Below are 27,751 nucleotides of genomic sequence, written 5' to 3'. Positions count from 1 at the left end.
TTGTAATTTTTTGTAAGTTTGAAATTATTTCCAGATAAAAAGGTCTTTAAAAAAAAGTCATATAATTTCTGCAGAATGCTGTTTGCTGTCCAGCCCGGTCCCTCGTATCACCTCCTTTCTGGAATTCCTAGAGCATGTGCCTCTTGCCTTCACAGCCAACACTGAGCTGAGGCTGCTCAGTTCATCTCCCGGAATTTGTGTCATAGCTCCCGGGCTGGCGGGTAAAACCCAGGGGGAATGGGCTATCTCACGGAGTCTCAGAATCTAGCACAATGAAAGCCATCAATAAACATTCTTTTTTTATTTTTTATTTTTATTTTTTTGGCTGATGCTCAAACAACCTTTCCCTTCGTTGTGATTTGCTTATGGGAAAGGGAAATCTCTAGCAACATATGGCTAATAGAATTATCTAAATTACTAGGTGTGTGTGTACTGGAGGAGAGTTTACACATTGTCCGCCATCCCACAGTAGGGCTAATTCACACATCTCTCAGTGGGGGCTCACTTACTCCTAGAATGTACACTATCTTCCTGGGTAGAGAATCTAGCACTTTCAAAACAGCTTGATTCCACAAAGAAGGGCGCTGAACCACAAAGAGGATAAATGACTGGGGGATATACAATAAAAGGAACAGAAAAAGAGTTAACACTCAATTTGTATCAATTTGATGACTTTCCATGATCCCAAGAAAGATACCTTTAATCTCCTCCTCTTTTCATACAAGAAAATTCTTGAAAATGTTTAGTTTCAGCTTATCATGAAATGTAGTAATTTTTCCTATAAATGCTAAGAAGCTTAAAGTATTTTAAGTCTATGAAATTAACAACTTAAGGTGTTCTTTGACGTGATTTCCATGCAGGATGAATACTCCCCATGCACATTAATTTCAATATCGTAAGCTGTCTTCTTCCTTTCTCACCAAAATTGAGGTGGTCAAAATGAATCATTTGGGGAATTTTTAACCTCAAAGATCTCTAGGAGCATGTAAACTCTCTAAGATCAGCATTTGTCTTTTCTTTGGGGTAGAAACATTTAGTTTGGTTTAGAGTTGTCTTTTTTAGATTTCTAGAGTGTTTAGATAATTCAGTTTTTTCCTTAGAATGTACTATGCTTTTTGAAGAATAGGGGTTTACAATTCTGCTTTAGAGCTTACTAACTCGCTGTTACTTCTATCTGTACTAAATTGCTGGTCATTGTTTTTTAAGGTGCTCTGTTTATACTTTCTGAGCTTTCTTACCATGAACTCTTAGTCTATCTCGTTCCTCACTAAGGAAGAGTCATTTGTTGCTCAGAGCCCCCTCTGCAGTTATACATTCCCATGCAGGAGGTGGGAGTACAGGGCTTCTGGGAGGGCTGATAGATGCTGCAGGCTTCTCATTAGGAGACAAGACAGCATTGGAACGAAGGAGAGCAGTGGGGAGGGGCTGGAGGATCTGGGAGCATTAAATAGCTCTCTGAGTGAGAACAATTAGTGATGTAAGTGTCTTCTTGAAAATGAACTGCTTTGGGGTGAGATTACTTACAAGCACCATCATCCCAGCTAAAATCTCCATAAAGAGTTCCGCAGTTCTGAGAAGTCATCTTTAGAGACGATGCTTATTGGAATTCATAGATAGTATTTCATTTTGTACTCTCTGAAATTAGCTAATGTTCTGGTCACTCCAGAGCCTTTAAAAATGGCCCCAATCCCAAGGGCTTTCATGAAGGGAAGTCTGGAAGTGCAGGGCTACAAATGCGTGGCTATTTGTGATTATTTATTTTAAGTCAGCATCACCATCAGCATCTTTTTTTTTTTTTCCTCTCAACTGGATGTAACGTTTCCCTTTTCATTATCAAGAAATGAGCAATGCTTTCAACATAGCAAAAGTACAATATGAGTTTTTTTACTTCTAATTTTAAAATATAAAATTGAACTTTTTAAAAAAGTATTTTTTCATCTAATTGATTTAACTTACCAAATTTCATTTTAATAAGCCCAAGAGGGGAGAGAGATAGGTGATATTTTCTGATAACATATTGACACAGAAGCCCTGGAGAAGTGCTGGTGTTATTTTTACTTGTTTACATACAGGAAATATACTGTATAGCCCGTGGAACATCAGTTGAGATGGGATAGATTTCTGAGTTTTGAGGAAAAAAAATCACCTTTTGCTGAAATATTGACACAGTTTTAATGTGGTTTTGACTTTTTATTTTAATTATATTTAAATACAGCATTTTATCAAATAAAATGAAGCCTGACACATTTTTCAAACTATTTCATATTTTGATACTTTATGTAGGAAGAGCTTCCAGTGCTTTCAATATGTAGAAAATGTGCATAACATTGATAATTATATCTACTCAAAGTTTTCAGTGACCATTGGAAAGAGCCGAAACAGCCCTGTGATTTATCAGGTGCTTTGGATAATGTAAGGATCATAAACCTACAACTCAGTCCATAAAGCACTATATCTGTCTGGCCCAGATAATTGTTTCTAAAGTATTTCTAAAACGCTTGTTTAAAACCCTCCCAAGACATTGATATATTTTTGAATATCATATTCGTTTTATTTTTAATATTATGACGTTAATTTAGACTTTACTAGTAGTTCAATACCTTATTTTAAATTGATTGGCAGATGAAAAGGGCACTTAAATACTTATTAAACAACGTTGTACTTTTCAAAGTACGTCTTGGCTCCATATACACAAAGCTATGCCAATTCTTGAGCCCAAGTCTGGCCTGAGGCATGGACTGCTCTGAATGGCCAGGCTGCTGTCAGGGCCCATAGGAAAATAGGGATAAGTGGGATCAGTCCCAGCCAATGTGGTTAGTCTGAGGGTGGGTGAGAGGTGGTTTCTAAAGGAAAATATTTGCATTAAAACAACAACAACAACAACAAGGAAATGGGTGCTGAGTAGGCAAAACCAACAGGTGTCCATTTGGTCAGAAAAAGTTTTTTATTTATTTTATTTATTTAGTTTTTGAGACGGAGTCTCGCTCTTTTACCCAGGCTGGAGTGCAGTGGCGCGATGTTGGCTCACTGCAAGCTCCACCTCCCGGGTTCACGCCATTCTCCTGCCTCAGCCTCCCGAGTAGCTGGGACTACAGGCGCCCGCCACCACGCCCGGCTGATTTTTTGTATTTTTAGTAGAGACGGGATTTCACCATATTAGCCAGGATGGTCTCGATCTCCTGACCTTGTGATCTGCCCACCTCGGCCTCCCAAAGTGCTGGGATTACAGGTGTGAGCCACAGCGCCCGACCCAGAAAACATTTTACCACAATTGACCTAACATTTGCTGATCATCAAATAAATGCACATTTAAAAAATTTTGGTGCATTTCTCATGAGAATGCTTTGGCGTATCAAGGACATTTTTCCCTGTACCAAACTAGAAACCAAAAGATGAAAAGGATTGTCTAAGCCAGACAGACTCTTCAGTCAAAACAGGACTGGTTTTGTGAGGTTGCTTTGGGTCCTGTCTCTCCAAGGACTGCATATTTCCTTCTTCGAGCTTTCTTAGTCTTGAAAAATTCATCACCTCACCTTATTCACCCATTATTGCTTCTTGTCTTAAGGTCTTGCCCTGCTTAACAAGTAAGGTCCTTCAGAGCGGAAACCACGTATTGAGTTTCTTTATTCTCCATTACACACTGCTTGGCATATGAAAGACAGCAAATAAATTCTTGGTTACATAATTTTTGCAAATTGGAATAACATATTCTCTAATACACTAGTGAAAGTCACATTACAAGAGACGAGATTGCACAACTTTCTCACATATCAAAAATAGCTCAAATGAATGTTCTGAAGGCCAGCAAGTCCTTATTATTAATTTAAAGATTTTCATATTTTTACTTGATTCAGGGTATTTTAAGTGTCTCATTTCAAAAAATAGTATGCTGCTGTCTTAATATACATTTTACAAGTGATGTCAGAAGGTGAAATGAGAAAACAGGAACAACTTCCATGGAAGATGGTTGTGCTCCATCCAACTCTTATAGTGAAGATTATTGAAGAAATGGCTAATTTCTATTTTTACCACTACTACTCCCATCATCTCTGTCATCAACATCCTCAATACCATGTTTCTTGAGTTCCTGCCATATAGTGAATAAGACTTTCTTCCTTGGTTGTGAAAAATAAGAATTTCCCCAGAGGAAAGACCTAGCTCAACAGGAAATACCCAGCTCTTCAAAACTGGATTAATCACTGCTCCTAATGGAACAGCTGGACCTTCTTACTCTGGTGGAAACAGAAAACTTTTATTTCTTATTCTTGGCAGTAATTAGTTGGCTGACTGTATCATAATCAGGTCCTGGTGATGAGTTTAAGGAGCATCGATTTTCAAGGTGAGCTTCTAGTTGCAGATGTTGGCTGACCCAGGTCACATTGGCCTGTGGGTACAAATGCAGCTACATTCCTCATTGTGTTCATTTCCCAGGGCTGCTGTAACAAAGTCCCACAAATTGGGTTGCATTAAACAACATAAATTGATTATCTCTTAGCTCTGAAGGCTGGAAGACTGAGATCAAGGTGTCAGCAGGGAAGGTTTCTTCTGAAGCTGTAGGCTGAATCTTGTGTGCCTCTCTCCTAGACTCTGGTGGATTTCTGGCAACCTGGCATTACTTTGGCTTATGAAGCATCACCCAGATATCTGCCTTCATCTTCACATGGTGTTCTCCCTGTGTGCATGTCTATGTTTCCATTTTTTTTCTTTTTAAAAAGACACGGTCTTGCTTTGTCACCCAGGTTGAAATGCCAGTAGCACAATCATGGCTCAATGCAGCCTTGACCTTCTGGGCTCAAGCAATTCTCCCACCTCAGCCTCCTAAGTAGGTAGGACTACAGGCATGTGCCATCATGCCCAGATAATTTTTTGCATTTTTCGTAGAATCAGGGTCTTGCAATGTTACCCAGGCTGGTCTTGAACTCTTGGGCTCAAGCAGTCTGCCTACCTTGGCCTCCCAAAGAGCTAGGATTACAGGAAAGAGCCACTGCATCCACCAAATTTCCTCTTTTTATAAGGACATCAGTCATTTTGGCGTAGATCTAAGCCAGTATGATCTCATCTTAACTAATTATATCTGCAATGATCTTATTTCAAAGTAAGGCCACTTTCTGGGGTACTAAGCTTCAACATACAAACCTTGGGACATGGGGGACACAATTCACTCATAATAATAGGAAAATTATTTTCCACATTTTGCTGTCACCTCCCCTAGATGACATTACCTCACCTCCTCATCTCTAGTTCTCAGTTTAAGTCTCCCTCACATATTTCTGAGCAAGTATTTACTAGTGAATGATGGTGCTCTCAAATACACCCATCAAACACTGCTTTCTGTTACCACCAGCCTGTTCACAGAGGACCTCTGCCTCTTCTCCTAGGTACCCTGGCTCTCCTGGGCACCAGCACTCGTGCCCTGGTTCCTTCTGCCCATGACCACTGGCACACCAGCACTCTACAGCATCTCTGGGTCTTGGGGTGATGAGGCTAGTCTGTTTTCTGGAGTTCTCTCCACCCAAGGTGCCTTCTTAAGTGTGGAGAAGCTTCTCTCCCACTTGGTCACTGTGTGCCATGAGAGGATCATCAAGGCAGGACCTACGCACAGATGTCTTAGGAAATCTGTAGTGAAAACAGACCCTGCTACATTCAGAAAGTTCAGGAAGCAGGCACTTGGTCAAGCCAGCCTTATCTGCTTACCTTTGTATTACATCTGCACATGCTTTTTTCCAGAATGTTCCTGGGTCCTGCATGCAAATTGACTCCAGGCAGCTGCACCCCACCATTCTGCCAGACATCCTCAGACAGGTCTGAACACTCCAGAAAGTGGTGGAATGCATCTGTGGGTCTTCTTTTAGCACTCCATGTTTCTCTTAGCACCATCCCTTCTAAGTTCACCCAGCACCCTCCTGCTTTTTATCCCTAAGTTTGAATCTGATCATCTTCTCACAGGGATCAAATAAACTGATGATTGCTGTAATCTGACATGATGTGGAATTTGAATTTTAAAAGAAGAAAGGGTAGTGAAGAATAGGCATGAATTTCTAATGGTAGACTTTGGATGCTATGGCAGTTTGAGTGGGAAAAGTATGGGTGCTTTCATGAACCAGCATGCACCTGTGTGCATGTGTGTGTACCTGGCATGTTACTCTGGAGCTTTTCTTCAAATTCCTAGTCCGAGGGTGTCACTTCTGGCGCCACTGAGAGCAGCAGTTTGCTCATGTTTCTTGCCTTTGAGCCCTTTCTTCAATTGAAACCTTACATAGATGTAAGTGGAACCTCTCACACAGGCCCCAGGTCAATCCATATAGGTTTGAATTTTGGCTTCTCAATTTTTCAATTGTATGATCGTAGTCAATACCTGAATACCTTGTGCCTCAGTTTCCTCATCTCTAAAATGTTAGAAACATTCTACTTAACTCATTTAGGTCAATGCACATAGAGTGTGTGAACAGTGCCTGCCACATGGAGCTTCTGGCTAGAGGGTAGATGAGGGTGAGTTCCCAGCAGCTCAGGCAGGTTCCTGATGTGGCTTGAATGTTTGTCCTCTCCAGATCTCATGTTGCAATATGATTCCCAATGTTGGAGGTGGGGTTTGGTGGGAGGCGATTGGGTCATGGGGGTAGATCCCTCATGAATGGCTTAGCGTCATCCTCTTGATGATGAGTGAGTTCTTGCTTAGTTCACATGAGAGCTGGTTGTTTCAAGGAACTTAGATCCCCCTCCTTTCTCTCTTGCTTCCTCTCTGGCCATGGGATACCAAAGTGTCCCGCTTTGCTCTCCGCCATTAGTAAAAGCTCCCTGGGGTCTCCCCAGAAGCCGAGCAGCTGCCAGCACCATGCTTCCTGTACAGCCTGCAGAACCCTGAGCCAATTAAACCTCTTTTTCTTTATAAATTTCCCATCTTGTATGTCTGTGTAGAAATGCAAGAGTGGTCTAATCCAGTTCCCTTCCTCTTCGAAAAGTGTCCTTGAAAGAACATTTTGAAGGAGAATCCCCCTGGGGTGACTCCTTTTGTAATTTCTGCAGAAGGATGAGGCAGGATCAGCTGGGATCTCAAGAAAGAAAATTGTGCCAATGTTCCCTGAGTGACATAATGCCTTTCTTTTGTGCTTCTCGTTTTTAAGACATTGACTGCCTTGGTGAATCATTCTAATGTCTCATGGTGGGCAGCATGCTTGCTGTGTGGAGAAAGTCCCAGGGCCCGCCTGCTCCAGCCACTACTGCTCTTGCTCCCATTTCTACCCACTTCCCTTGGCTATGCTCATGAAAAGTGTATTGGCAAATATTGTGATTCTTGGAAATACCCAGTGTCCAAGAGCATGTAGGGAAACAAGCTTTCTCACATGCTGTTGTGGAATGAAGCTTTGTGGGAGGCAGTTTGACAGTATCCATTATGATTTGTTAAGTGCACATACCTTCTGAGCAGCAGGTCCACTTTGTTGAATGTATGCAACAGAAATATCTATATTATCATGTTAAAATAATACAATATTATCATGTAACAGTATCATGTCATATATGGATATAAAATCTATATCATCATTTATCATATAAAATAATGTTTTTATTTGTATGTATCATTATTCATGATAATGGAAAAATAAGGAAAAATCTGTATCAATCAGAAGCTGGTTATAGAAATTACTGTGGCTAAACTGTAATGGTTACATTTAATTTCATGGTTATTGTTGGTTAATTTCATGTGTTGCCCGGGTAGGCCATGGTGCACAGTGTTTGCTTAAACACCAGTCTACATGTTACTGTGAAGCTATTTTTTAGCTATGATTAAACTTTAAATTGTAGACTTTTAGTAAAGTGTATTACCTGCCATAACATGGGTGGGCCTCATCCAATCAGCTGAAGGCCTTAAGAGAAGAAGATTGAGATCCCCAGAGGAAGAAGAAAATCTACTTCCAGACTGCCCTCAGACCAGAGCTACAGCATCAGCTCTTCCTTGGGACCCAGCTTGCCAACCTGCTTGTAGAATCAGGACTTGCCAGGCTCTACAATCCCCTGAGCAAATACCTTAAAATAAATCACATTATCTATCTGTCTGTCTATCTGTCTGTCTATCTATCTATCTATCTATCTATCTATCTATCTATCTATCTATCTGTCTGTCTGTCTATCTACCATCTATCTGTCATCTGTCTACCTATCAGTCAATCCTCTGTGTATCAAATCTCTATCCATCCATTCTTACTGGTTCTGTCTCTGGAAAGTCCTGACTAATACAGATACCATGGCGTTGCCTTAAAATGAAGCACTACCATATTTTCTGATACAAATTTTTTCTCTGAATATATTGCTAATTGAAAAAAGCTGGTTGCAGATCTATATACGTATGCGTAGTTCCAAACGATGTCCTAGCTGTTGACTTGTATTTTTGTGTTTTCTTGCTGTGTTGCCCAGGCTGGGCTACAGTGGCATGATTATAACTCACTACAACCTTGAACTCCTGGGCTCAAGCAGTCCTCCTGCCTCAACCTCTCCAGTAGCTGGGACTACAGGTGAGAGCTGAGACACCACAGCTAGCTAATTTTAAATTTTTTTTTTAAGTAGAAACAAGATCTTGCTATGTTGCCCAGGCTGATCTTGAACTCCGGTCCTCAAGCGATCCTCCCACCTCGGACTCCCAAAGTGCTGGAATTACAGGCATGAGCCACTATGCCTGGCATCTTGACTTTTTATATATGTCATGCTACCTTCTGGGACTGTCTCTTCTAGTGCAGGCCCACTTTCTTTCCTGGTCTCAAGGCCAACTCCCTCCTTTCAGCTTTGCCTAATTTTATGGCTCACAGGCTTTTTCTGTCTCCTGTTATTTGTGTGAACTTAACCATGACTTTTTACTTGTTTTAATCGCTGTCCCATCATGGCATTTGGCAAATAGTTATGTCCATCACTCCCAGCTGTTTCCAGTCTCCCACTTGTTTCTACTCTCCCACGTCTACCTCAAATCCTGGCTTAGGTCCCCCCGGATGGCACCTTCCCCAGGCTTCTGGAACATTACTTTGCCTGTGCTCCACTTAGCTGGTCCCCAGTCCTCTCTGCTCCCATTATACGCTGCCATCTATGACCATGCCATTGGCAAAACACTCAGGAAAAAATGAGCATATATGAGACACAACTGATACACTCCTCTTCCAAGGTTATCACAATGTATTGATGATAGTATGAGGTTATCACTAACAAGGCCAGGATTAGAGTGATGTAAGAGGGTTAGTCATAAAAGTTCCGGGCTGGCCTAATCTCCATTTATAATTTTGTTATTTTGTTCATCATAATTGTTTGGATTAGTGTTGACTTTTTAAATATTGCATTAATATTCATCTTGATTTATGAGTTTTGTGCCTTTGAATTTGCACCTCAGGCAAGCACCATAACTCAGCCTTGGTTACTATAAGCATCTCCAGCCAAATAAAGAATGCAGCAAATGTTCTCCATAATAACTTCAAAAAACAGGAAAAATAATGAATATTCAACTTTAATTGGATAGTTAAACACATAGTTTAGGCTTAAGAAAAACTTTAGAAAACTTATGTATATTCTCTTTTCCTATTTGATTTCACTTGGTCAAAGAATTCGTGAAGCTAGTATCAGCCTTGAGATCTCCAGCACCTGGACAATGATGTAGCTCTTGGAGGAGGGCTTGTTAAAACATTGTTGGGCCTCATAATAGACTTTTTTAATTCAGTAGGTCAGGGGTGGGGCCTGAGTACTTGTTTTTCTTTTTTTTTTTTTAACTTTTAAGTTCAGAGGTACATGTGCAAGTTCGTTACATAGGTAAACGTGTGTCATGCGATCTGTTGTATAGATTATTTCATCACCCATGTATTAAGCTTAATATCTATTAGTTATTCTCCCTGGTCCTCTCCCTGTTCCCACCCTCTACTGTCCAATAGGCCCCAGCAATCCCATTATTGGGTATATACTCAAAGGAATATAAATAATTCTATTATAAAGACACAAGCACATGTATGTTCATTGCAGCACTAGTAACAATAGAAAAGACATGGAATTGACCTAAGTGTCCATCGGTGATAGACTGGATAAAGAAAATGTGATACATACACACCATGGAATACTATGCAGCCATGAAGAATGAGATTATGTTCTTCATAGGGACATAGATAGAGCTGGAAGTCATTATCCTTAGCAAACTAATGCAGGAACAGAAAAATCAAATACCGAATGTTCTCACTTGTAAGTGGGAGCTAAATGACGAGAACACGTGGACGTGTGGAAGGAAGAACTTGCTTTTCTAACAAGTTCCTGGGTGATGCTGTTTGTCCAGGGACTACACCTGGAGAACCACTACTGTATCCAGAGCTGTCATTTTCAAATTACCCTGGAGCCTTGGGTAGAGAGGTGGGGAAAGGTCACTCCTGGTCACTCATAAAACACAGGCATTTTGAATTTTTATTGATTCAGTAAGATGTTGAGACTTGATGAACCTTCTATTATTTTTTAAACAAGTATTTAGATAACAAGTGTATGCACACATCATAAAATTTCCTTGTAGTTTATATTCTTGTAGGGCAGCCTGTTGATCTTTCCTTGATTAGTTTTAGCTGAAAACTTGTTCACTACAACACAGAAAACTCAGTGCCCATGAGGTTGAGCAGCGGGCGCACTGTGTGAAACATGCTCAGGTCCATAAAACGGGGTGATGCCATTTGAGTCATTGCTTCATTCATTACTTATTTAAGGATTAAGCTGGAATTGAGACATTGATATCAAAATCAGATAAGCTTGTAACTGAACCAGTTAAAGAAGGTGTCAAAAAAAGAAAACGTCATCAATTTTAGGAGAATGGCTGTGGGCTATTTGGTGGGGAGGAAAAACACACCAACGTTATTTTGTTATTTTACAGCACAGAACAACAGCTTTTATCTAGGCAGGCCCAGAAGGCAGTTGAGAGGTGAGACTGCCAGGTTGGGTGATAGTCCCCATTGTGAAACCACGTTTATCTCATCCTTGACAGATACTTCAGTTAGATGCGATCAAATGAACAAATTGCTGTGCTGAAACAAAATGCTGTGTGTAATATCTCTCTGTAACATATAAAGATGTTTTGATAAAAAAGAAGGAACAAACAGGAAAGGTGACCAGGCAGGTTGAGAATCACAGAGACGTCTGGAAGGATAACAAGCCCTTCTACCTGAGGATCATTTCTCTAATAGGTGAAACGTGGAGGTTGTGATGATAGCTCAGATTTGATCCCAGGGGTGATTAGGATCAGAAGGGGAATAGAGCTGATACATGTGGTAGCCTATAGAACAGTGAAAGCAGGACGACTGAGTGAGGGATGTAGGGAATAGAATGTCCTGAACCAATGTTTAACCTGGCCTCGGGGGATATTCAGTGGATGATGCCTGGGCAGTCCAGGGTGAAGTGATGGTCTATAGGAAAGAATCAAAAGAGATTAAGTATACAGTGCAAGTGTGAAGGACTGACACGATTGGAATGTCACTTTACAAACACAAAAATTGGGTGGAATTTTAAAGAACATGTTGCTCATAAGTATATGCATGGATGTATTCTCTTTCCAGTGGTTGTTTGAAAAACAGATTCCGAGCCCCCCACAAGACCTTCTATATCAGGTTCCGGGTTCCTGGAATTTCTATTATTTAAAAGCATCCTAGGGGATTCAGATACAACCCATTAAAGGGCAAGGTTTGGAAATCAAAGCTCTAGTGGACAATTAAAATGTGATGTAAAACATCAGGAATGACATATTAATATATATGTATTGATTAATGATGGCCTCTCAGCAACATCACGACAATGGGCTGTTTCACGACAGCCATTTGTAGATGCATTCAGTGTGTACAAGCATCATTTTCAAACTTTTTATTTGAAAATAATTTCTAACTAAAAGGCATGTTACAAAAATGAAAATAACATGAAGAGCAGACACGAATCATTTAGCACACACATTTTTACCATTTGCTTTGCCTTTGTGTTTTTTCTCTCTCCATTCAAATGTACATGTGCACACACACATATGCATACACGTGTGTTCACACACACGTACCTGTTTTTCTGAACTATTTGAGGGTAAGTTACGTATATCATGCCCTTTTATGCCTAAATTCTTCCTGGGCTATTTCCTAAGAATAAGGATATGTTCTTACATAATCATGGTACACTTATCTACTTTGGTATTTTAACATTGATAACATGTTTTATCTAATCTACCATTTATGTTCCAAATGTGTCCGTTGACCCAGTAATGTCCTTTAGAGCATTTTTCCTGCAGTACAGGATCCCTCTGGTATCAGGTAGTGCATTTCATCGTCTTGTCTTTTTAGTTCCCCTGTTGAATCAGGAATATTTCCACAGGCTTTCTTTGTGTTTGAGATGTTAACATTTTGAAGAATATAGTCAGCCCATGCCCCTGCTTATTTTAATAGAACATTTCTCATCGTGGGCTTCTCTGATTTTTTTCTGTGTGTGATTACATTCAGGTCATGTGCTCCATGCTGAAATACTACATAGGGAATGGTGTGTCCTTCTCAGAGTACCATATCTGGGGACACTCAACGGCCATCCAGCCCTCTTTGGTGATGTTAACATTGATCACTTGGTTAAAGTGGAGTTTGATATCTTCACTGTTGAGTTACTATTTTTCTCTCCTTTGCAACTAATAAGCAGTCAATGGGATGACATTTTAAGACCCTGAAAATATCCTGATTCTCATAAAAAAAAATCCCTTTAGATTTAAATACACGCATTGACAATACTTGCCTGATCCAGTCTTTGCCATGATTATTGCAGAATGCTGATTTTCCAACTCCGACATGCTTTCCACATCTGTCAGTCAGATTTTGGCATTCTACTATAGGATCCATCCCTCTCTCCTTACTTTTTATGCCTGTGTATTCATGAATTCCTATTTGTCAATAGTTCATTATTCTACTTGCATTATTTTGGGATTCCAGTTGTCCACAATTTGGCCACTGGGATCTCCGTTGGTGGCTCCTGTGTCCTTACAACATAGTTCTCTCATTCTATAAGCTACTTTCTTCCTTTCCAGCTCATGCTGACCTACCCTGCCCCAAGCCCTGGAATTAGCTATTCCTCTGAAGAGCTCTTGTTCCTTTTAGTGGGGGATGGCATTTGCAGTGAAGAGCTGAGCTCTAGGAGTACTCATAGCTACTGAATGTCTTTGTTTTTGTTAAACATGACCGAGGCAGATCTCAGTCGATTCAAAGGTTTATTTTGCCAACGTTGAGGATGCACCTAGGAAAAAGAAACACAAGTCACAGTAGGATCTGTGCTTTTTCCAGAGGGTTTAGAGGGCTTCAATATTTAAAGTGGAAAGAACCAGCAGGAGGGCCAGGGGGAGGGTAGGCAATGAGGCAAGTGGTTTCATGCTTGTGAGGCTCTGATTGGCACTCAGTGGATCTACATTTTACATGTGGAGAGAAAGGAGTGGGAGGAAAAGTCAATTGTGCATTCATCTCGGGCTCAGTAAATCTGCATTTTACATAAGACAAAGTAAGCGTGTGAAATTACAGCTAGGCGGTTTTTGAGAGGCTTAGTTCTTAAGCTTAACTTTCCGTTTGGCATAGGGAGTTTGGGGTTCTGAGATTTTATTTTCCTCTCACAATTTCTTGGCCCTTTCAATGGGCAGAGAAGAAATATATACATGTATATGTATATTTCCAATATATTCATGCAAGCAAATATACACAAAATATATCTACATAAGCACGCATATTTTAGAAATCATGACTTCATGCCAGTACCTCGAATTCAAATCTATCCCCACAGAGTCCCTTGTTTCTTTCTTCCATTACATATTTGCATATTCCTTTTTCTGCAGTGAGAACCCTGCAGTGCCTGTTTGAGAACCTGAGGGTTCTCAAACATCAGCACATTTTTATATTTGCTCCTCTTTCAATACATCCAAAACGGTCACAGGATTTGTTTTTTTTTTTTTTTTTTTGCCCATACACTACAAGAAATTCTTTTGATTAGATGAATTTTAATTCATCTGATTATTAATGCAATTTATTACCTAATTACTAATTTATTTATTACAAGTAGTCAGGATTTGTTTGCAATTCTCCTGTTCCCATTCCACTCTACCCAAAACAGAGGTTCTAAAGTCAGATACTGTGTTCATAAATTTGTTGGATTTTCCCTCCTTCAGGTTACTTGGATTTTCTTCTCCCCGCCCCTGCTTCCCTCTTCCCTCCTTCCCTTCTTTCCAGTACCTCTTTCCTGCTTTCTCACTTTCTTTATTCCCCTTTATCATTGTCTGGTACTCATTTGAAATACAATCATCTTCTTTTTTTTCAGTCTGCTTTTGGTTTTAGTTTTTTTTTTTTCTCCTCCTCATTCTTACTAATTTTTTTCTAAAAATGTGTGGACTCTAAACATGTCTTCAAAAATCAAAATATTACAGTTTTACTTATAAAAGCTTCACGTTTTCATGTTCTCATCACTGGTATCTTACGTCCCATTGTAGGTAACCTGATTTTACTGTTTTGGTGTTCCCTCTTTCTATATTTTTACTGTTTTTTTAAAAGTAAGCCGGCCAGGTGTGGTGGCTCAAGCCTGTACTCCCAGCACTTTGGGAGGCTGAGGCGGGCGGATCATCTGAGGTCAGGAGTTCAAGACCAGCCTGGCCAACATGGTGAAACTCTGTCTCTGCTAAAAATATAAAAATTAGCCGGCTGTTGTGGCGTATGTGTGTAATCCCAGCTACTTGGGAGGCTGAGGCAGAAGGATAATCTGAGCCTGGGAGGTGGAGGTTGCAGTGAGCCAAGATCTCACCACTGTACTCAAGCCTGGGTGACAGAGCGAGACTGTCTCAAAAAAAAAAAAAAAAAAAGAAGCCCATATGCACATTTTCCTATTGTGCCTTCTTCCTACACAAAGAGTGCTGGATTATTCCAACTTTGCCAGAGACTTGTACTTTCACCCACATTTCCTCCCAAACGAGCTGTGTGAACCCAGGTAAGGAATTCACGTTTTTCAGAATTCAGTTTCTTCAAATGCTAAATGTGAACCTTTTAAAAAGTCTGTTTTTCTTATCTCTCACCACAAAAAGTTGGCCATGAAATAAATTCATTTTTCTTCTTCTTTCCTATTATGAAGCTAGAAATGTGTATTCAGAGGGGAAAAAAAGCCTCAAATAAGACACTTTGGAGGAGATAGGATTGAACCAGGGCTGAGGTAAATCCTTTTGTAGTACCGTAATCATTTCTACCACTTTCCATGTCTAGACGCTCCACTCAACCCTGGTCACCCTTTGTCATTTCATTTCAAAGGGGCTCCTCCTCCACAGAGGATCTGCTCACTCTAGGACACAGCTTTCTTCTGCTTTCTGAGTGGGCCTATTAGATCCACCTGAGGTGTTTCTCCAGCCAGTTTGTAATTTGGCTCTGAATTCCTTAAGCGCAAGGTTCTGTCTTAGAATCTAGGGTCCACACCCCACCCACTCCAATCATGCAAGCCTGAAACATTCTCAAATGAGTTCGCTTAAATGGCGTGTGGCTGTAGGATGGTGTCTCTCTGTGAGGTTTAGGTGTCTAAGAATTCTCCTTAAAGCTAACTCAACACCTGAGAAATGCAAACCTCACAGGGAATGTAGAATGAAAGAGAATTAACTCTTGGAAGGCCCTAAATCAAGACAGCTGGTATGTTAAACACGGTATTGTTGACATCTTCTGCATGCTAAGTTAGTTATTCATCCATGATTCCTTGTTTTTTTGTTGTTGTTGTTTTGTTTTGTTTATCTTCAGACTGTCACCCAGGCTGGAGTGCAGTGGTGTGATCTTGGCTCACTGCAGCCCTCTGCCTCCCAAATTCAAGCGATTCTTCTGCCTCAGCCTACCCAGTAGCTGGTTTTACAGGCACGCGCCACCACGCACCCAGCTAATTTTTGTATTTTTAGTAGAGACGGGGTTTCACCATGTTGGCCAGGCTGGTCTCAAACTTCTGACCTCAAGTGATCTGCCCGCCTCGGCCTCCCAAAGTGCTGAGATTACAGGCCTGAGCCACTGCGCCTGGCCCAAGATTCCTTGTTCTAACCCATGTTTTCAAGCCTGGCTTTTCCTTCTGTTTCAAGGAGATGAGTCTAAACTGGTGTTGTTTTGTTGCCCAGAGGCCACACACCTCATGGCATGGTATCCCCAAGTCTGATTCTCCAACCCAGTGTGGCCAGCCCCCTTCCTGATTTTTTTACTCTAGAGCTGGTCACTGCTGGTGTCCAGATTCAGCCATGGATCCAAAGAGCAAGAGTAGCTTGCATGTACCCTAACTAAAAATAAAGCAGGAGGAAAAACAGACTTGAGTCCATGTTGAGTTCATCATTATGTTATATTAGAACTGAAAGTTGTTTCTTGAGTTCCCAGCACACACCCAGCGCAGGTGGCATCGCCCTGTCCCACGCACGTGCGGCGGCGCCATTCTTCCCACGGCGGGTGGAGGACTCAGCTTCGGAGCCTCCTCTTTAGGCTTCCTCTCTTTTTCCCAAGGTGGCTTCATGCCAAAACCTTCCCTCTGTCCCTGACATTTGCACCACGTCTCCTTCTCTTCTCAGGATCCTTCTTTTCCTTGTTCTTCCCAGCAGGAGAGACTTAGAATTCATGGACATTAGAAACAAAGATACCATGGAATACTGTGCAGCCATAAAAAATGATGAGTTCATGTCCTTTGTAGGGACATGGATGAAGCTGGAAACCATCATGCTCAGCAAACTATCACAAGGACAAAAAACCAAACACCGTATGTTTTCACTCATGGGTGGGAATTGAACAATGAGAACACATGGACACAGGAAGGGGAACATCATACACCGGGGCCTGTTGTGGGGTGGGGGGAGTGGGGAGTGATAGCATTAGGAGATATACCTAATGTTAAATGAGGAGTTAATGGGTGCAACACACCAACATGGCACATGTATACATATGTAACAAACCTGCACGTTGTGCACATGTACCCTAAAACTTAAAGTATAATTAAAAAAAAAAAAAGAAACAAAGATAGGGAGGTAAGTGTTTCCTTATCCATAAAATGGGATAAAAACAGTAACCCCCCTGCCCCACCACCAGTGGCAGTTGTGACATTAAATGACATAATACGAATTATTAAGTTGTGACATTACATAACTTAAATATAGATTTAAATAATTCATATTTAATTAATATTAATTATAAATGAATTAAATTGAATCAATTAATTAAATTATATTAATTAAAATAATTGAATTAATTAATATGAATTATTAAGTTGTGACATTAAATAACTTAAATATGAATTATTTAGGGCAGCACTTGGCACTAGGTAAGAGTGAGTGAGATAAAGTAGGTTCAAGGTGCACTTCCACCCCTGGCTTTCTCATTTACAGGCACCTCTCCTCAGCCAGCCCCAGATCCCTGCAAAATACAGATAAAATGGGTCTGCGAGGATGACACAAGATCAGGCAGGAAAGCTTCTGCACACACAGTGTTTAAACAGAGTGAGCTCCTGTCCATTGTAAATGTCAGGGTGAGCAAAGCTTCTCTTTACAGAGACCCAAACAACATAGGTATCTGCAGCCCTCTCTCCCTGTCCTGTGCTGGTTATAAGGGTTATTTTACATCTACCAGGCGTGATTTCCTTTCTATCCTGCAACAACTTATGATAAAGTTGGGGACACAAGGCATGCTCTCTAAGTATAAAGAGCAAGGCAAGGTGGCAGAGGCTGAGCATGACTAAGTGGCAAAAATGGTAAGTGCTGAGTGTTCAGGATGACAATGCTGGTATTGGTGCTAACAATCCAAATGATCAACAATAGGAGGCAACATAAGAAAGTAAAGGCACAGTAGCAGGTAACATTTTCTGAGCACAGGCCATGTGCCCAGCCCTGTGCTATGTGCTTCTGATGCATTATTGGTTTTAATTTCACCAGGAATCCTGTGGGGGAGGCACAGTGGATTCAGTTCACAGAGAGTTCCCCCCTCTATGTGGGAAGTGAAGCCCAGGAGAATTTATCAGGCTGCACAAGCAGAGTTGGACTCTCATCAAGCAAAGTCTGCAAAGTGGATCACCTGTATCAGGAAAGAGGTGCTGCTTCTCAGAAGCCTAACAGTAGATGCAGCTGGACACCAGTCAGGAAGCTAGCACAAGGGCAAGGAACAGTGGGGTTGATTCAGGAGGAACTCTGTTAAAATGGCTTTCAATCTTACACAGAAAGCACTCCACAGTATCTGTGAAGTTCAGAATGCTAAGTTAGGGTTCAGGGTGTTTAGTGCTTGGGTTCAAAATATTTTAAAATACATATAAAGTACTGTGATGGGCCAGAGTTCATTTTTCTTGTGTGTGTGTGTGTGTGTGCGCGCGTGCACATGTGTGTATGTGCATGTAAGTGTATGAATTTATCTCGTTATTTAAAGAGCCAACAATGGAAGTCCATTTTTTGGAAGAAGCATTGCATTTTTATAAACGTGATTGAAGAGGTTTAACTCTACACTATTAAGATTGCTGCCTTGATTCCTCAAGGATCTAGAACTAGAAATATCATTTGACCCACAAACCCCATACTGGGTATATACCCAGAGGGATTATAAATCATTCTACTATAAAGACACATGCACACGTATGTTTATTACAACATTATTCATAATAGCAAAGACTTGGAACCAACCCAAATACCCATCAATGACAGACTGGATAAAGAAAATGTGGCACATATACACCATGGAATACTTTGCAGCCATAAAAAAGGATGAGTTCATGTCCTTTGCAGGGACATGGATGAAGCTGGAAACCATCGTTTTCGGCAAACTAACACAGGAACAGAAAACCAAACACCGCATGTTCTCACTCATAAGTGAGAGTTGAACAAGGAGAACAGGTGGACTCAGAGAGAGGAACATCACACACCAGGGCCTGTTGGTGGGTGAGGGGCTAGGAGAGGGATGGCATTAGGAGAAATCCCTAATGTAGATGATGGGTTGATGGGTACAGCAAACCACCATGGCACGTGTATACCTATGTAACAAATCTGCACATTCTGCACATGTATCCCAGAACTTAAAGTATAATAATAATTAAAAAAAGATTGCTGCCTTGAATGTGTTTTTTTAAAGCCATGAATTCCAAAACTATTTTTAAAATATTTCTTAATTTCAGCATTTAGATAGAAAACATTGATGTTTATCTAGAGAAATGAAAGAGTCTAGAAGTCAAGAAGGAAAAGGAGAAAGAGAAGTAGAAAGACGAGAAACACAAGGAGGAAAAAAGGAATGAAGGGTGTGAGGGAAGAAATAAGGACACAAATGAATCAATGAGTTAAAGAACCATTCTCCATTCATTTTCTTCTGTCTGTAAATTGGAAAGCATGCTTTACACCAGCATAATCCATTGTCAGTGAGAGACCTGACTCCTCCTTGGCTGCATTCAGAACTCCTAACAAGCTCCTTAGGAGACAAGTCATCAAGGATGGATGGAGAATGACACACAGAAAGGCTGGGTGGAGGGTTAAATAATTCCCAGACAATTCCTTCAGAGAGACGTGGATTACGAGGGCTTTTTGTTTCATTTTCATTTTTTGTTGTGACTGCTTTTAATAATCCACTGAAGTTGTTTGATTTAGATCACTTTAGATCAGCTTTTTTTCCTTCCTCTCTGTTTCATTTCTGAGCCTATCCAGGGAGTGTTATTTTAGTGAAAACAACTTCTCGAAAAGAAATGAATAAGCCTGAATTGCGTAGTTTTGTAGGAAAGTATCTGATCTGTGTATGTATGGCATCTTTAGTCCAGGACTTCTCAACAGGAGCAGTGATTTTTAGGGGGGCTACTGTGTACTACTGGTGTCTAGTGGGTGGAGGCTGGGGATGCTGCCACATATCCTGCAGCGCACAGAACAGCCCAGCAAAGAAGAATGATCTGGCCCCAAATGTCAATAGTGCCAGCGTTAAGAAATCCTGCTTTATTATAACATTTTACTGATTGCTTGCTATTACTTAATTAGAAAAGACATTCATCAAATAGGAGTGAATTTTAGACGTAAACTCATTCATAGCACACGTGACTGCTATGTCCTAAGGCCTGATCCAGCCATGGGCATTACAGATACAAAAAAAGGAAAGGACTTATCCTCCAAGTACTTGTCACCTGGTAACAAGTAAATAAATTCAGGTTTTATGGGTGCAAAAGACAGCTGAGGAACAGGAGAAGAATGGCAAAGGCACCTTTATTTTATTTCAGAAAAAAATACATGTAAATTAAGAAACCAGTCTGGACAACATACATTGATCTCTATACCGTTTGCTCCCTCCCTCAATACTCCTAGTTTGATTAAAAGAAGTGAATGCACTTCTATATGAACACTTGCTGTGATGGGAGAATAAAGTGTTTTTGTTTTCATCTGTGCCAGCTTCTTAACATGCTGGTGTAACACCTATCTGTGTCTTGCCAGCACACTGCTTGAAGCAGAGGTTGATAGGATGCCTCTGTCTTCTTGATAATCTGAGTGTTGCTCCAGTTGCATGTAGCAATTAGAACTTGTTGTGTAGAAAGACTAGAGTGTTGACTGAGCCAATTAAAAGATCAATTAGTGCAGTGCAAGTGCTTAGAGAAGTAGTTTTCTATGACAGGGAACAGGTTTTCCATCAGTATTTAGAGCTACAAGCGAAACCAACATCAAGGAGTATGTATTCTTTGCTGTTAACTCTTTTTTGTTTAAAATGTTCTGTATATTGTTAAACATTCAGTGGAACTTATTAATCAATGGGCTACTATGACCAAAATGACTTTTTTTTTTGCAATGACTCCCATTTATAATAATTAAACAATTACAATTCAGTAAAAATAATAAAATAACACTGAATTTTATTTTACTTTTGGCTGTGATATAATTTGCTAAAAAGAGTTTTTTTTCCCCATCAGTTATTTGTATATGGCTTAGAGTTCTTATTGTTGTTTTTATTACTTAAAAAATCACCCCAGTTTGTTTTTAGTTCTCCTATGCTGGGATCTCAGCATATGTGTGCCACATTGAATTTCCAGACTTCTAAAGTCATAACTCCGGAAGGGGTCTTCTCATCAAGTAAGAAATGAAAATGGATTCCATGCGAATTTTTCGAGGTGTAAAGTGTTAAGTGCATTTGTTCAGCCAGTATTTATACAATTAGCAGATAGCAGACAAAGTGACGGCTGAAGCCCAGAGCCTGTTGCCTGCCCTTCTGTGGTTTATACTGCAGTTGTAGGCAAGGGCTAGTTATCTTAGTTATGACCATGTGTGGCCAGGAATGGATCAAATCCTTGACTCCCTGCTCTGCTTCCTGCAACCCTTCCAGGGACAGAGAGAGAGAGAAAGATAGAGAGAAAGAGAGAGGCTCACTGAACAGGAGCAGACGAGATCACGGGGTGTATTATGTCCAGGGCATTGGTGTTAAACCTCTCTAAGGAAGTTCAATCCTTGGTAAACTAAACTGGACAGGAGAACTTCTTTTTTAGCACAGGTGGTTGCTATGTCCTAAGCCCCGATATGTCCTAAGCCCTGATCCAGCCATGAACACTACAGACACAACAAAGGGAAGGACCCAGCCTGCAAGTACTTGTCACCTGGCAACAAGTCAATGGATTCAAGTTTTATGATGGGTACAAAAGACAGTTGAGGAACAGGGGAAGAATGACAAAGCAATGTTTATTATATTTTAGAAAAAAATACATGTAAATTAAGAAATGAGTCTGGACAATATACACTGATCTGTACTGTGTCCCCCCTCCTCCCTCAATACCTCTACCCTGATTAAAAGAAGTGAATGCATTTCTATATGAACACCTGCTGTGATGGAAGAATAAAGTGTTTTTGTTTCCATCTGTGCCAGCTTTTTAACATGCTGGTGTAAAACCTATCTGTGTCTTGCCAGCACATGGCTTGAAGCCAGAGGCAGGTTATCTGGCTTCCCTGCTCCATTTCCCACTTGACTCTTGATTTATTCTGGAGACCCCTTCCAAGTGGAAGGCACCTCCAGGCTCTTCTTCCTACCCAGACACATGGATTGCCAAGAAAGGCAAGTCAGGAGGGAATCTAACAGAGAAACTGAAAAGCAGAGTCCCAGGCCGGGGGGTGGGTGCTCCAGGTTCATGTCCTAGTGTTTACTCTTCCTCCTTCCCCTCCAAGATCTCTGCTCAGCCACTGTGGCCCAATAGCATTATTGGCATGGCACAATTGCCGGTTTCTTGTTGTGGACCTGAAGGCCGAAGGAGCTACATATATCTGCTGGGGGCTGGAGTATCTGACCAATTAGAGATTTAAATGAAAAAGGTATAATGTAAGGTGGTATTCGACGGAGTACCAAAATTAGCAGGAGCATTATAGCGTATGCCTCGGAGTTCTTAGTTCTGGACAACAGAATTCAGTCTAGTTCATTGAAAGTCTGTAAGCTGTAGGGTGTCAGGTAGTGTGTGGAAATTCAAAGAGGTTCAGAGAGCTATGCTTGTGTGCAACACAGCAGGAGGAACACCCACCCACAGCATGGAACTATTACAGGAGAAACCTCATGCCTGCCACAGCTGTGTGTGTTTCTTGGGTGCTCCTAGGGAGCTCCCTTCCAAGTCTCCCCTGGGTGACTGCCTAGAACATAGCTACTGACCAGAGAGAACCTGAGCTGCTAATGAGAATGGAAAACATAGTTTTCACCAAATTTGCAGATAAAGGTCACTAGAAGGGATGATAGTGGGTAAGGAGTGAGTCCACTTGTATCTGCAAACCGGCCGCAGGACTTGGTTGAAGGTGGAAATAAATGGGGGCTGGAGTGGTTGAGGGAGACCTTAAGGTGGAGCCATGCATGAGTTGAAATAAAAGGTCTTGGATTGTTCAGAGAAGGAACATGGACTGTCCCAGCAAAAGGAGAGCAAAGACGTGCGGTTGAGGATGCGTGGCACTCCTGGAGACTGCAGTGGTGGGCTGGATTGGGAGTCCATACTTGAAGGTCCGAGTGGTAAAGCCAAACAGAAGTGGGGCAGGGTTTGAAAGCATTTGGTCACCAGAAAGGGATTGAAGACTTCCTCCTGTGTGTGGTGATGAGAGACTGAGGTTTATAACAGAGGGGATATGATGGGGACCCATGGTTTGTGGTTCTAGTATATAGGATTGCTGGAGGAAGATACTCTCCAGCCAGGAAATCCAGTGAGGGCCAAATGATCTGGGTGGCGGGTGGTGACAGCTTCGTCTAGGGTGTCAGCAGTGAGAAAACACACACACACAGAGAACATCAGAGTCTTTCAAAAAGAAGAAACAGCGTAGGAAAGGGGACCCACATTCAAGAGCCAGTATTTACTACTTAGTACTTAATGATGTGAGTTTGACCAGCCTTGGTGTTGCTGAGTTGGTCTTTGTATCTGAAAATAAAGGTAATTCTCATTCACCACCTCACTGCACTAAGTCACGATGAAGATCTAATACTGAATGGTTACAAGAGCCCTTTGTAAACCCAGGAAGCATCACATAAACTAAGTTATTGTTATTAAGAGAGGAAGAATCAGCATGATTTGCTGACTGAGAAGGAGAAAAGAAAGGAAACTGCCTTTTTACTGAGAGCAGGAAGAAAAGAGGTGAGCTCCGGGTGGAAACAAAGAGAGCTCAGGAGGTTTGGGGCTGTTGAAACAGCCTGGGTTTGAGCAGGGCTATGGCATACACAAACAGAGATGTGTAGAAGACGGCTGCAGAATCAGGACTGGAGCTCCAGCAAGGCCCAGGTAGGGTGAAACTACCTGTTAGGAGTATTACTGATGCCCTATTATTCCAGAAAAATTATGAGGAAGGGGTAACTAATTTTCCGTGTACTTCACTTTTTTTGCTTGTTTTAGGGATAGGATCTGTTTAAATTCTGCTTAACTACAAGCCAATAATATTTGGGCTGTGTTGATTCAAATATAAGAAAGTAAATTAACAGGAGGGGGACTGTCCAGGTGTGCCTGACCGAGGGGTCTCAGAACGTGGACACCAGTGCTGAAATGGGAAAGTCCGGGGCAGATCAGGCCACCCCAACAGGCCGAGAAGAAATAGGAGGAGGTGAGATAGTGACTCCTGACTCCTTGATCATCACATAGTTGCTAAAAGGGACTCAAGTGGCTATTAGTGGAGTAGCAAGTGCAGCTGGCACGTATCCTAGTTTAATAAGAAAAACTCTGTAGAGTTACAGGGTCTTGTTGCATTTAGGGAAGAGCCAGAAATGTCTCTCCAGGGAAGAAAGGACACTGGCATGCTCAGAACTCCAATACGTTGAGGTTTATACGATCAAGTTGGGAGGATACCTGGAAAAATAATGTGGAGATGATCAAAACCATGCCAATTAATAAGGACACGTGTATACTTTAGGAATTACACATTTTGTAACATTACTCTTCAAAATATTTTTCTCTGTGTATTTGATGTGAGTGTATAGTCACCTGGTTCAAGCATCTTTTTGAGTTTGAACAAAGACCTGCAGGCCAGGAGACCAGGACTGATAATGAGGCAGGGCTGGGACAGGATGCTGCCAGCTACTCTGTGGGAAGAAATTGCCGGCCGACCTCACCAGGGGACGATGGTGGCCCCAGCATGTGAGCCAACGCCATTGAAGGAGCAGGTCCAGGAAGCATCAGGCCCCAGTGTCATGAACTGTCCAGATAAAGCAGCCCTGTGCGGTTAGACTCCTGTGGCTGCAGACTCCCTTGCCTGGCACCAGTTTTCAGGATGACCCCAGACTAAATGGGCCTCTAAGAACTAAAGGAGGCAAGAGTCACACGAGGAATCATCAGCTGCAACCGATTATTCTTGATTTTTTAAAATTAGGCATGGCCTTAAACATGGTTACCTGAATGTTATGATTGAATTATGTCTCCCCGACATTCACATGCTGAAGTCCTAACCCCTAGAGTCCCAGAATGTGACCTCATTTGAAAATACGGTGGTTGCAGGAGTAATTTGTTAAGATGAGGTCACTATGGTGGGCCCTAATCTGGCGTCTTTATAAAAAGGAGAAATTTTCACACACACACACACACACACACACACACACACACACACACACACGGAGTGCCATGAGAAGACGAAGGTGGAGATGGGGTGATGCCAAGGAACAAGGATCACCAGCATCCCCAGAAGCCAGGGAGAGGCTGCAACTGATTCTCCCTCGCAGCCTTAGAGGGAACCAACCCTGCTGACACCTTGATGGTGGACTTGGAGCCTTCAGAACTCGACGACAACAAATGTCTGTTGTTTAAGGCACTCTGTTTGTGGACCTTTGTTATAGCAGCCCCAGGAGTTGAATAGGCTCACAGAGTTTCATTTGTACGTTTTTCCCATCTGAAAAATAGAATGCTGCTTTACCACAATTTATTTACCTTTGGGCAGATAAGAAATAAGCAATGGTTTGAGAGATTACCTGTAAACAAACTGAAAACCATCATACTAACAAGGAGAAATCAGAAATATATTTATTTGAGTTAAGTAACATTTTTCAAAAATTATGATTGACAACCACCCATTAGTTTACAAGTGGGAATTTTTTCCCACCCTGTAACACCCATCATTTATGAAGCTAAATATTAGTTAAGGGCCTCTGAAATTTCCAATAAAACTGCTAGAAAGATTCTTTTGATCTCTAGGCAGCTCTGAGGACAGATACAACTTCATTCCTCCTGGAAAATGCTTTGTTCTTTGGCTCCACTTAAGGAGGCAGTGGAAAAGCATATAATACATCAGGCTTTCTTTCTTTGTAGAACAAAGTTAATCCAGGTCCTTATCATAGGAAACTGCACAGGGATATAATCTTTTAGAAGACATAAATAATTCTCCATAATACTTTTGGAAATACTTTGATCTTTCTGTATACTTCTCCATTGCAAAAGGGTACTGCAAACCTTATTTTCCTTGTTTAGAGATTTGTTAAATGAAGTTAGTCATATTAGACCTTTGAAGTTGTGTTTTAAATAGAAGCTACCAAAAGGATGAAGATAATTTTACTATGTCCTGAAAAATTCTGAAAGACGTGCCAGGCAGCTGCCTCCTGTGGTTCTAGTACATAGGATGGATTCACAACACCATGGATGGACTTTTCATATATCTAATGTTCTTCTGTTCTATTAACTTTGTTAATGGACTCAAAAAGACTCTTTAAAACTTCATTCTCCCTTGAATATTTTAATATTCAAGTGAAAGATGCTTTCTCTTAGCATTCCTGCTATACCAGTTCTCATCTTCCTTCCACCCCACTGCTAGTATTGATTAGGCTGATGAAGGATTGGTGGGAAAGGACTCTGGAAAGGAAGGTAAAATCTCAGAAGGTCACATATTCCATGATAAAGATCTGAGGTTCCTTTGATGGGGGATGAGGAGCTGCTGAAGAATTTCAAACGAAGGAATGATGTCACCAGATTTGCATCTTGGAAAACCGCTCTGGAAGCAGCTTAGAGGAGGAGTCGGTGATGTTGGGGTGGGGGAATGAGACTAGAACCAGAGAGGCTCGATGGAGAAGTCATTGAAGCTGTCAAATATGGTGGCATTGTGGATAGGGAGGGTAGGCAGGAGGTAGAGATACCCAAGAAGACTGTGTCAACTGCCTAGAGCTACATGTTAGTCATTTCCCTGCTAAAAACACAAATATTATTGATTACTTGACCCAGCTGGTTAAAGTTTAGTGGTTGGTGCTATTTAATCAACAAGAAAAGAAAATCAAGAGTTATCATTGGCTGGGCACAGTGGCTCATGCCTGTAATCCCAGCATTTTGAGAGGCCAAGGCAAGAGGATCTCTTGAGCCCAGTAGTTTGGGGCTGCAGTGAGCTGTGATTGCACCACTATACTCCAGACTGTGTGACAGAGCAAGATCCTGTCTCAAAAAAAAAAAAAAGAAAATGAAAAAGAATTATCATTTTGTCCTAGATGTTCCCATCCCAACTAGGTTCATCTCATTCTAGTTAATTCAAGAAATTCCAGGTCAAGATACCTGGTCAAAGTAAACTCACGCACATTCGTAGAATTTCCTGGGTGGGACCCAGTGATGAGCTAAATTAGTATATTTCTTTGCCATCCTGGTCCACCAAACACCTCGGGGGAGGACATCCTTTTTTAATGTGTTCAGGCCATGTACGGAGAATGAGAGGTTAATTCAGCCTAAATTCCTGGTTGTGTCCAGGTGGGGCCAGCAAGCATTTGTTGAACAGCCTCTGGCCCACTGTGCTGTGAATATGTGGCCTTCTTAAGTGCAGTTGAGGGGAGTAATCCGCTGCCTCTCAGAGTGGGTCCACAGAGGTGACAGTGGGAGTCCTGCTATTTTCCTTGGTGGACCCAGTCTTGACCAAAAGCCTGAGAGAGGACCAGATGGAGTTGCTTGCAGTTTGCTAAGTTGAGGCTTTCTCCAAGTCCAGGAACAGGTAAATGCTTGCTACCAGGTAAGATTAAATCTATTTCATAAGGAAGGCCAATAGGTGGCAGAGCAATCTTTCCTATGCTGCAAAGTGAGGACATATAGAGAAATCTTCAGCAGAGCTCCCTCGCTATGCTTCCATTAGCACATACTTTAACACTTTAACGACCAGGCCATTTTAGAAGTTTTGCACATTTTATATGTTTATAGATGTTATTGCTGAACGTTGTGTAAAATATTTCCAATTAATTAAAACTTCAAGCCCTAGAACGATCAGCCAAAATATTTATAGGTATAATTTAGTTACTTGAATTTTGTCTTCTTCCTGTGGCTAGAAAACTTGTTTTCATTTTAAGGGATATTTCCTCTTTTTTGGCGCGTAGAAACAAAAGTAAAA

The 27,751-nt window shown here is 41.2% G+C and overlaps 1 long non-coding RNA gene across 1 annotated transcript in view, besides 3 other annotated features; it reads left to right on the top strand.

Annotated features, from left to right (window-relative positions):
• LOC100506403 (uncharacterized) overlaps positions 1 to 27,751 on the top strand; it is a 208,258-nt gene that overhangs the window by 152,720 nt on the left and 27,787 nt on the right. The gene's annotated exons all lie outside the window — the stretch shown is intronic.
• Positions 12,945 to 13,560: an enhancer, noted in NCBI's record as "NANOG hESC enhancer chr21:36786783-36787398 (GRCh37/hg19 assembly coordinates)". NCBI's record gives its function as "activates a minimal SCP1, AML or CMV promoter by ChIP-STARR-seq in primed H9 embryonic stem cells {active_cell/tissue: H9 hESC(primed)}" and the evidence as "EXISTENCE:reporter gene assay evidence [ECO:0000049][PMID:30033119]".
• Positions 13,020 to 13,314: a silencer, noted in NCBI's record as "tiled region #1205; HepG2 Repressive non-DNase unmatched - State 24:Quies". NCBI's record gives its function as "represses a minimal TATA promoter and a strong SV40 promoter by Sharpr-MPRA in HepG2 cells {active_cell/tissue: HepG2}" and the evidence as "EXISTENCE:reporter gene assay evidence [ECO:0000049][PMID:27701403]".
• Positions 27,260 to 27,554: a silencer, noted in NCBI's record as "tiled region #5568; HepG2 Repressive DNase unmatched - State 12:CtcfO, and K562 Repressive DNase matched - State 12:CtcfO". NCBI's record gives its function as "represses a minimal TATA promoter and a strong SV40 promoter by Sharpr-MPRA in HepG2 and K562 cells {active_cell/tissue: HepG2 | K562}" and the evidence as "EXISTENCE:reporter gene assay evidence [ECO:0000049][PMID:27701403]".

Source organism: Homo sapiens, chromosome 21 (assembly GCF_000001405.40).
Source record: "Homo sapiens chromosome 21, GRCh38.p14 Primary Assembly".
Taxonomy (NCBI): Eukaryota; Metazoa; Chordata; class Mammalia; order Primates; family Hominidae; genus Homo; species Homo sapiens.
This window is presented reverse-complemented; position numbering and strand designations above follow the sequence as displayed.